The sequence below is a fragment of the Homo sapiens genome, chromosome 1, assembly GCF_000001405.40.
Source record: "Homo sapiens chromosome 1, GRCh38.p14 Primary Assembly".
Lineage (NCBI taxonomy): Eukaryota > Metazoa > Chordata > Mammalia > Primates > Hominidae > Homo > Homo sapiens.
In genome coordinates, this window is record NC_000001.11 from 144142854 (window position 1) to 144152619 (window position 9766).

General features: G+C 58.7%; 1 long non-coding RNA gene across 1 annotated transcript; it reads right to left on the minus strand.

Moving 5' to 3' along the window:
* Positions 1-717: 717 nt before the first annotated feature.
* On the minus strand, positions 718-9536 carry LOC105371207 (uncharacterized). Its single transcript, XR_922026.3, has 3 exons — positions 9196-9536; positions 7317-7487; positions 718-6452 (listed from the first exon to the last, which is right to left on the minus strand). It is a non-coding gene; the product is annotated as an uncharacterized LOC105371207 (long non-coding RNA).
* Between the last annotated feature and the right edge of the window lie 230 nt (positions 9537-9766).

Genomic DNA, 9766 nt, shown 5'->3' on the forward strand with positions numbered 1-9766 from the left:
TGGTTTGGAGTTATGTGTACAAAACCATGACCTATATGTAATACAACTAATAACAGGCATTTACAATTCAAGGCATATTATATACAAAGCTTTAACTTCTTATCAAAATATTTTGTTTTTTTTCTTTCTGTTTTGGCAGATACTATGAACACTACATTCAACTCACAGACACCATGGAGCCCTTACTAAGCATAAAGTACTGTGAAAGGCCAGGGCTAGGACAGAACTGAGACAGGGCCAGGGATAGGACAGAACAGGGGCAGGGTCATGGCCAGAGAAAAACCAGGGGCAGGGTCACGGCCAGGGACATGAGAGGACCAAGGCCAGGGCCAGAAGCAGGGCAGAACCAGGGCCAGGGCAGGGACATGGCAGGGCCAGGGCCATGGCAGGATCAGGGTCAGCAGAAGGCCAGGGCAGGGCTAGGGTAGTGCAGGGCCAAGGCAGGGCAGGGTCAGTGTAGAGCAAGGAACGGGCCAGGGTATGGCAGGGCAGGGACAGGGAGGTCCAGGGCCAGAGTCAGGTCCAGGACATGGACAGGACAGGGCCAGAAATATGGCAGGACCAGAAAGGGGACAGGGCAAGGGCAAGGCCAGAGAAGGACCATGGAAAAAACACGGCCAGGGAGGGTCCAGGGCAAGGGCAAGGCCAGGGCAGAACCAGAGCCAGAGCAGGCCAAAGGCAGGGCCAGGGCAGGGCAAGGCCAGGGTAGGGCGGGGCCAGTGTAGGGTGAGGGTAGGGCCAGGGTGAGTTCAGGGCCAGGGCAGGACTAAGATAGCACAGGGCCAAGGCAGGGCCAGGGCAGGGCCAAAAGGAGGGGCCAGGGCCAAGCATGGCCAGTGTCAGACCTGGGGATTGTCAGGGCCAGGGTCAGGGTCAAGGCTGGGCCAGGGACAGGGCCAGAGCAAGGGCAGGGCCAGGGAGAAAGCAGAACCAGAGAGGATCCAGAGCAAGGCCAGGGTCAGGGCAGAACCAGGACCAGGATAAGGCAAAGCCAAGGCCAGGGCAGGGCAAGGCCAGGGCAAGGCAAGACCAGGGAAGGGCAAGGCCAGAGTAGAAAAGGCCAGTGTAGGGCCAGGCCAGGGTAGGAGAAGGCCATGGTAGGGCCAAGGCCAAGGCAGGGCAGGGCTAGGGTAGCACAGGGCATGGCCAAAAACAGGGCAGGGCCATAACAGTGGCAGGACTAGCAACAGGGCCAGGGCAAGCGCTGGACCAGAGCATGGTGGGGACAATACAGGGCCAGGACAGACGATGGCAAGGCAGGTCCAGGGCCATTTCATGGACTCGGTAGGCCTGGGGTCAGGCCAGGGCAGGGCAAAGGCAAGACCAGGGAGAAGGCAGGGCCGGGGCCAAGGCAGTGCCAGGGCAGGGCAGGACCAGTGCAGGGCCAATGCAGGGTGAGAGCAAGGCCAGGGCATGGAAAGGCAGGGCAGGACCAAGGAAGGGCCAGGAGAGGGCCACGGCAGGGTCACGGCCAGAACAAGGGTATGGCTGGGGTCAGGAATATGGTAGGACGAGGGCTGGGCCCAGGCTGGGACACGCAGGGCAGAGCATGATCTGTGCAAGGCACGGCCAGAGCCAGGCCATAGAGATGGGAGGGCAACACCAAGGCAGAGTCAGGGTAGATCCAGGGCTGAGCAGAGTCAGGGCAGGTCCAGAGTCGAGGCAGAGCTAGGGCCCAAGCAGGGCCATGGTAGCACCAGGGCAGAGGAGGGCAGGGCAATGCAGGACTGGGCCATGGCAGTGCCTGGTCAACTCCCGGGCAGGGCCAGAAGCAGGACAGGGCCAGGGCCAATGCTCAGGCCAGGGACAGGGCATGACAGGAAGTGCCAGAGCAGGGCTGGACCAACGTTGGGGCAGGGCAAATCAGACCAGGACATCTCCAAGTCCATCTCTGGCCCTGCCTTGGCCCTGGCCCCTTCCTGGCCTGACCTTGTCCCTGGCCCTGCCCTATCCATGCCCTGTGTGTTTGACCAGTGTTTTATAACCAGAATCCTACAAGAAACTTAAATTAGTTCTTTTTGTGCATTTTTAGTAGAGATGGGGTTTCACAATGTTGCCCAGGCTGGTTCCAAACTCCTGAGCTCAAGCCATCTGCCTGCCTTGGCCTCCCAAAGTGCTGGGATTACAGGAGTAATCTGGCCAAGTATTTAACTTCTTTATACCTGTTTCCTATATTTGGAAAATGGGGATGCTTTAAGTACCTAGCACATAGAATTATTGTGAGAATCAATGCCTCACATATTAACATATTGATAAAATTATACTCATAGAACACTACTGGAAGCAAAGATAGTATTAGTTAAAATTTAGTGATTACTGCAAATATTATTACTATTACAAACAATATAGTATAGACATTACTACTACTATAGTTATCTTAAAAATCTAAAATAAAAATTTTATGTAATAGCCCAATGTAATCTCTCCTGCTCTGTCCTGGCTCAGCCCTAGTGCCGGCTCTGCCCCTAGTCCTACTACATCCCTGGCCCTGACCCTTCCCTGGTCCAGCCGCTGCCCTGGCCCTTCCCATCTTCAGGCCTTACCATGGCCCTACCCTGGTCCTGACCCTGCCCTGGTCTGGTCCTGACCCTGGCCCTACCCCAGAGAAGGGGTATGGCAGAGCCAGGGAAGGGCCAGGGCAAATAAGGGACAGGACACATCCAAATCCAGGAAAGGGCCAGGGCCATGACAGAGCCAGGGCGAGTCCTTGGCAGGGCCAGGTTCCAGGCCAGGGCCAGGAAAGGGTCATGGCAGGGTCACTGTATGGCCAAGGTCCAGGCCAAAGCCAAGGCAGTGGCAGGGTCAGGTCTGCATAAGGGCAGGACCAGAGCCAGTGATACGGCAGGGCCAGGGCCAGGGCCAGGGCTGTGCCAGGACAGAACAAGAGCAGAGCAGGGCAGGACCAGAGCCAGGCCATAGAGAGAGTAGGGCAAATGCCAAGGCAAGGCCAGGGTAGTGCCAGGGCTGAGGCAAGATCAGGGAAGGTCCAGGGCTCAGTCAAGGCTAGAACCAAGACAGGGGCAAAGGCCGGGGCAGATCTAGGGCACAAGCAGGGCAGGCTAGGGCAGGGCAATGGCAAGACCAGGCCATGGCAGGGCCAGCCCAGGATAGAACAGGGCACAGGCAGGGCAGGGCCAGGGCCACGGCTGGGGCAGGACAAGGACCAGGACTGGGGTCCAGGCCAGGGCAAGGGTATGGCCAGGGCAGAGGTAGGGCCAGAGCCAGGGTCTGGGCAGGACCAAGGCAGGTCTATTGCAGGGCCAGGGTTCAGACCAGGGCCAGAGCAGGGCTGGGACAGGGCCAGGGCCAGAACCAGGAAAGGGCAATGTCAGGACAAGGGCCGTGGCAGGACCAGCAATGGGGCTGGGGCCAGGACAGGGACAGGGACAGGGTCAGGGCTAGGGCCAGAATAGCATGCCAGGGTAGAGCCAGGCCAAATTAGGGCCAGGACAGGGTCAGGACCAGGGCTGGGCCAGGGTATGGCCTTAAGTAGCGAAGGGTCAGGGCCAGGGTCCATGCCAGTGCCAGTGCTGGTCCAGGGAAGATGCAGGGCCATGGCCAGATCTAGGACAAGGCTGGGGCAGGACCAAGGTCTGGGTCAGGGTCAGCAGAAGGCCAGGACAGAGCCAGGGGAGGGACAGGGCCATGGTAAGACCAGGTTACATCAGGGACAAGACACCTGCAAATCCACTTCAGGGCCAGGGTCAGGGCAGGGCCAGTTCAGGGCCAGGGCCAAGACAGGGCCAGGGTCAGGGCTGCCAGGGTCATTGGCAGGGCCAGGGCCATGGCAGGACCGGGGTCAGGAGCAGGGGTCAATGCCAGGCCTAGGCCACACATAGGACCAGGTCTGTGCTAGGGCCAGTGTGAGGGCCAAGGCAGGGTCAGGGCAGGGCCAAAGGGAGGGCAGGGCCAGGGCAGGGTGGAGCAGGCCCAGGGTAGCACAGGGTTAAGGTAGGGCACGACCAACCAGGGCAGGTCTATGGTTGGGGCCGGGGCAGGGCCAGAGCCAGGGCACAGCCAAGACAGTGGCAGCTCCTGGGCAGGGCCAGGGTTAGGACCATGGACATGTCCAAGGCCAGTGCCAGGGCAACAGCAAGGGCAGGAGCAGGGCCAGGTTCATCTAAGAACCAGGGACAAAGCCAGGCCCAGAGCTGGGCCAGGACAGGTACCTGGCAGGGCTAGGGTCTGAGACAGGGCCACAGCAGGACCAGGGCCACAACCAGGTCTGTGCTATGGCCAGGTCCAACACAGTGCCCAGGTAAGGCTAGGGTGAAGGCCAAGGTAGGGCCAGGGCAGGGTCAAAGCCAGGCTAGGGCCAAGGCAGGGCCAGGGCCGGCAAGGCAGGGCCAGGAAAGCATAGGGCCAGGGCAGGGCAGGGCCAGGGCAGGGCGGGGCCAGGACAGTGCCAAGACCTGGGCAGGGCCAGGGCCAGGGCCATGGCCACGGCCTGGGGAAGACCAGGTTCAGGGCAGGAGCAAAACAATGGCAAGGACAGTGCAGGTTCTTGGCACAGCCAGGGTCCAGGACAGTGTCAGGGCAGGGCCAAGGCAGGGTCTGGGCCATGGTAAGACCAGCAACAGGGCTGGGGCTAGGCCAGTGACAGGACCAGAGTCAGGGCAAGGGCCAGAGCAGTGCAAGGCCAGGGTAGGGCCAGGCATTTCAGGGTCAGGGCCAGGGGAGAACCAGGGCAAGGTCTCAAGCAGGGAAGGGCCAGGGCCAGGACAGGTCCAGGGCAGGGCCATGACAGGGCCAGGGGCTGCGTTAGGGCAAGGGCAGGGCCACAGCAAGGTAAGGGTCAGGGCCAAGGCCAGGGTAGGGACAGGGCAAGAAATATGGCATGACCAGGGGCAATGCCAAGGCCAAGGTTGGGCCAGGGCTGACCCGGGACTGAGTCAGGGCAGGGCAGGGCAGGGCATGGTATGGCCAGTGCAGGACAGGACAAGAGCCGGTCCACAGAGAGAGCAGAGCTGATGCCAAGAAAGAGCCAGGCTAGTGCCGAGGCTGAGGCAGTGTCAGAGCATGTCCAGGGCAGGGCCAGGGCCAGGGCCAGAACCGAGCCAGGGCACAGCCAAGGCAGGGTAGGGAAGGGAAATAGCATGGCCGGGTCAGTACTGGGACAGGACAGAGCAGGGCAAGGAGATGGTAGCGGCAGGGCAGGGACAGGCCAATGCAGAGCCATGTTATGCCGGGGCCAGGACACCTCCAAGTCCACTTCAGGGCCAGGGCTATGGCAGGACAAAGACCACGGCCAGGATCAGGGCCAGGTCTGTGCTAGGGTCAGCTCCAGAGCAGGGTCTAGCGCAGGCTAGGGTGAGGGCCAAGGTAAGGCCAGGGCAGGGTCAAAGGCAGAGTAGGGCCAGGGCAGGGTGATGACACATCCAGAGCGCAGCAGGGCAGGGTGATGGCAAGACCAGGGGCAGACCATTGCCAGCTCAGGGCCAGGGAAAGTCCAGTGCAGAGCCAGGAAAGGGTCTGGGTCTGGGTCAGGGCCAGGAACAAGGCAGAGCAGGGCCAGGGCCATGGCAGAGTCAGGGCAGGTTCTTGACAGGACCAGGTTCCAGGCCAGGGCCAGGGCAGCAGCAGGGGCAGGGCCTGGATAAGGGCAGGGCCAGGGATATGGCAGGACCAGGGCTAGGGCCAGGGCCAGGCCATAGTGAGGGCAGGGCAAAAGCCAAGGGCAGGGTCAGGGCAGGTCCAGGGCAGGTCCAGGGAGTGGCCAGCACCAAGCGGGGCCAAGTCACAACCAGCGCAGGGTAAGGCAGGGCAATGGCACCACTGGGCCATGACAGGGCAAGGTCAGTGCCAGGAGAGGGCAGAACAGGCAGGCCCATGGTGGAGCCAGGGCAGGGATGGGCCAAAGCAGGGCCAGGACATGTCCAAGGCCAGGTCAGGGCCAGAACAGGAGCAGGACCATGACCATTGGCAGGGCCAGTGCCATGACACGACCAGGGTCAGGACAAGAGGCAGGGCCAGAGCCAGGGCCAGAGCCAAGGTCAGGCCAGTGCAGGTTCAGGGCAGGGCCAGTGCCAGGGCAAGACCAGGGCAGGGACAGGGTAGCACAGGGCCAAGACAGGGTCAGGATGGGACCAGAGCAGGACAGGGCCGAGAGTCCAAGTAACAGTAGGGCAGGTACAGGGCAAGGCAGGGCAGTACAGGGCCAGATCCACGGCAGGCGCAGGGCAAAGCCAGGCCCATTGCCAAGGCACCAGCCCTCCCTACAAGGCTCCTACCACCTGGCCACTGCTGCAGCCCGTCCATCGCTCTAAGCCTGACCCCCAACCCTGGCTGCAGCCGCCTGCCCTCCTAGCGCAGCCGCTCTCCTACCACTCTGGCGCACCGCAGTCTCTGTCACTGCCGCCCACCCGCAGCGAGGCGAGCCATGGTGTCGCAGGCTCTAGGTGTCTCCTCCTCCTCCTGGCACAGAGCAGCTGGGCGGGCAAAGCCAGAAAAGCCTAGGGAAAGATGTGAGGGGTGGAAGGGTTAGAGCCTCAACTTGTCATGCCGGCCACTGGGTGGCAGGGGCCAGTTTCAGCAAAGGCACTCACACCCACCCTACAAAGTCCAGCCTCTCCTTTTGGCCCAAGCTGGGCAGGAACTGGGGTCTGGGGTGGGTGCTGGAGACACCACAGCATCCAGCTCCCCACTCCACAGGAACCATTGGGCCCACTGGGGCTGCACTCCTCGGGGAGCAGGAGAAGCAGAAAAATTCAGACCCAGCCAGCCCTCCACACCCAGGTGCCAATTCCTGTTCCGGACACCTCCACGCACAGGGCCCTGTCCCCCGTGGTGTCCCCAGGGGTGCCTGGCAGCCTCTGAGGCACAGACCCACAGTACACAGGCCCAGGAACCACGGTGGGTGTGGGGGCTCTGCCATGCTCAGGATTCCCACGCAAACGCTGTGTGCCCTGCTGCACTCCAGTATGACCAAGAGTGGGTCGCCCTCTGGAGTGTGGAGTCAGGGAGAGGAGAACCACTCCTTCCTTGGATGCCAACTCTGTTGACCGACACCAGCAGTGCAGCCCCTGATAGCACCGAACTCGCCCCCGCTCCATGGCTAGCCCTGCCCTCAATAGCGCCCCCCACCTCCGTCCCCCAATGCCGCCAGTAGCGTATAACTGATAGTGCCCTAACCTGTCCTCCTCCATGGGCATTGCAGCCCCAGAGAGCACCCATAACCCACCCTCCCTGCCGTGGGCAGTGCAGCCCTGTACAGTGCTACCAACCAGTACCCCTAATGCAGGCAATGACACCCTGGATAGCGCCCTCAACCCACCCCACACTGCGAAAGGTGCAGCCCTGGATAGCCCCTGTCCTACCACTCTGGTCGTCCTGCAGTCTCTGTCACCACCACCACCAACCACAGTGAGGCAAGCCAGTGGGCCACAGGCTCTAGGACCCAGCAGCCAGGCATGGAGCAGCTCTCGCTGATGGCCGGCTCCTACCACTCTGACCACGCTGCTGTCTGTCTCCGTGGCCATCTTCTTTCACTACAAAGGAATAAAACTAGGTATCAATAAGAAAAGCAATTTTGGAAACAATACAATCACATGGAAGTTAAACACTACCCTCCTGAATAAATGACTAGTGGGTCAATGAAGATACTAAGACAGAAATTCAAAAATTTCATGAAACAAAGGGTAATGAAAACACAGTATACCAAAACTTGTTATGCAGAAAGCAGTACAAAGGCAGAGATTTACAGCTATAAGTGCCTACCATCCAAACAAAAGAAAACCTTCAAATAAACAATACATCTTAAAGAACTAGTAAAGAACAAACTAAACTGAAAATAAGAAAATAAATAAGATCATAGCACAAACAAAATTGAAATAAAAAACAGACAAGATTAAACGAAAAGTTGGTTTTCTGGAAAGCTAAACAAAATTGACAAACTTTTAACCAGGCTAAGAAAAGAGACAAGATTCAAATAAATAAAATCAACAGATTAAAAAAAGGAGACATTACAACTAATACTTCAGAAATTCAAAGGATCATAACTGGCTACTATATGCCAATAAATTGGAAAGCCTAGTAGAAATTGGCAAATTCCTAGATGCATACAACCTACTTAGGTTAAACAATGAAAACATCCAAGACCAGAACAGATTGGTAACAAGTAATGAGATTGAAGCCATCAGAAAAAGTCTCCCAGTAAAGAAAAGCCCAGGAACTGATGTCTTCACTGCTGATGGCTTCACACCAAACAATTTAAAGACCTAGTACGAATCCTGCTCAAACTATTTTGAAAAACAGGAGGGAATACTTCCAAACTTATTCTATGAGACCATTATTACTGTGATACCAAAATCAGACAAAAGCATCAAAGAAGGAAACTACAGGCCAGGATCTCTAATATTGATGCAAAAATCCTCAACAAAATACCAGTGAATCAAATTCAGTAATACATTAAAAAGATAATTCATCATGATCAAGTGGGATGTATCCCTGGGACCCAAGGGTCACTCAACATACAATGTGATACATCATATCAACCAAATAAACGACAAAAACAGTATCATCACGTCAACTGAAACTGAAAAAGCATTTGATGAAATTCAACATCCCTTCATGCTATAAATCCTCAAAGAAACGGGCACAGAAGAAACATACCGCAACGTAATAAAAACTACAGGAAAGACACCCACAGCTAGAATCATATGGAATGGGGAAAAATGGAAAGCTTTTCCTCTAAGATCTGGAACATAAGGATGCCCCCTGTCACCACTGTTGTTTAACATAGTACCAGAAATCCTAGCTAAAGCCATCAGTGCAGCCCCTGATATGGCCCCCAACCCACCCTGCCCCCTACCACCAGCAGTGTCACCCCCCCAATAGCACACCCAACATACCCAAACTGCCCCGCCTCCCCACACCATGGGCATTACAGCACCCCATAGCGCCCTCAACCCGAAACCGCCACCCCCCCGACAGCCGCACAGTGCAGCCCCGGATAGCACACTTAGCCCACCTCACTGTTGCCAGCAATACAGTCTGGGATAGTGCCCCCAACCGGCTCCCCACCAAAGGCAGTGCAGCCCCGGTTTGGCCCCCAAACCACCCCCCCCCCGCCCGGTGCAGGCAGCACAGCCCCAGATAGCACACCCAACCGGCCACCCAAGACGGGCAGTGACGCCTGAGATAGGGCTCCCAACCCGTCCCAGGCCACCCACAGTGCAGCCTGGATAGTGCACTTACCCCGACGCCTTTCTACGCTCTGGCTGGCTGCAGTGTCCATCGCTGCCACCAACCACAAACAGGGCTGCAAACAGGAAGGATTTTATTCACTGTCCATGCGGCCCTGAGTTGTCCCAAAGCGAGGCAGTGCCCCCAAGGTCTGTGCAGAGCAGAACGCAGCTCCGCCCTCGCGGTGCCACCGGCCCGCCCGCCCGGGTCTCTGCTGAGGAGAACATTGCTCTGCCTTCGCTGTATCTCCGAAGTCTGCAGAGGAGAACTCAGCTCCGCCCTCGCAATGCTCTCCGGGTCTGTGCTGAGGAGACCGCAGCTCCGCCCTCGCAAAGGCACACAGCGCTGGCGCCGGCGTGGCGGAGAGGGGGCCAGTGGCGGAGAGGCGGCCAGCGGCGGCGCGGCGGAGAGACGGACAGCGGCGGAGAGGCGGCCAGCGGCGGCGCGGCGGAGAGACGGACAGCGGCGGCGCGGCGGAGAGGCGGACAGCGGCGGAGAGGCGGCCAGCGGCGGCGCGGCGGAGAGGCGGACGGCGGCGGAGAGGCGGCCAGCGGCGGCGCGGCGGAGAGGCGGATGGTGGCGC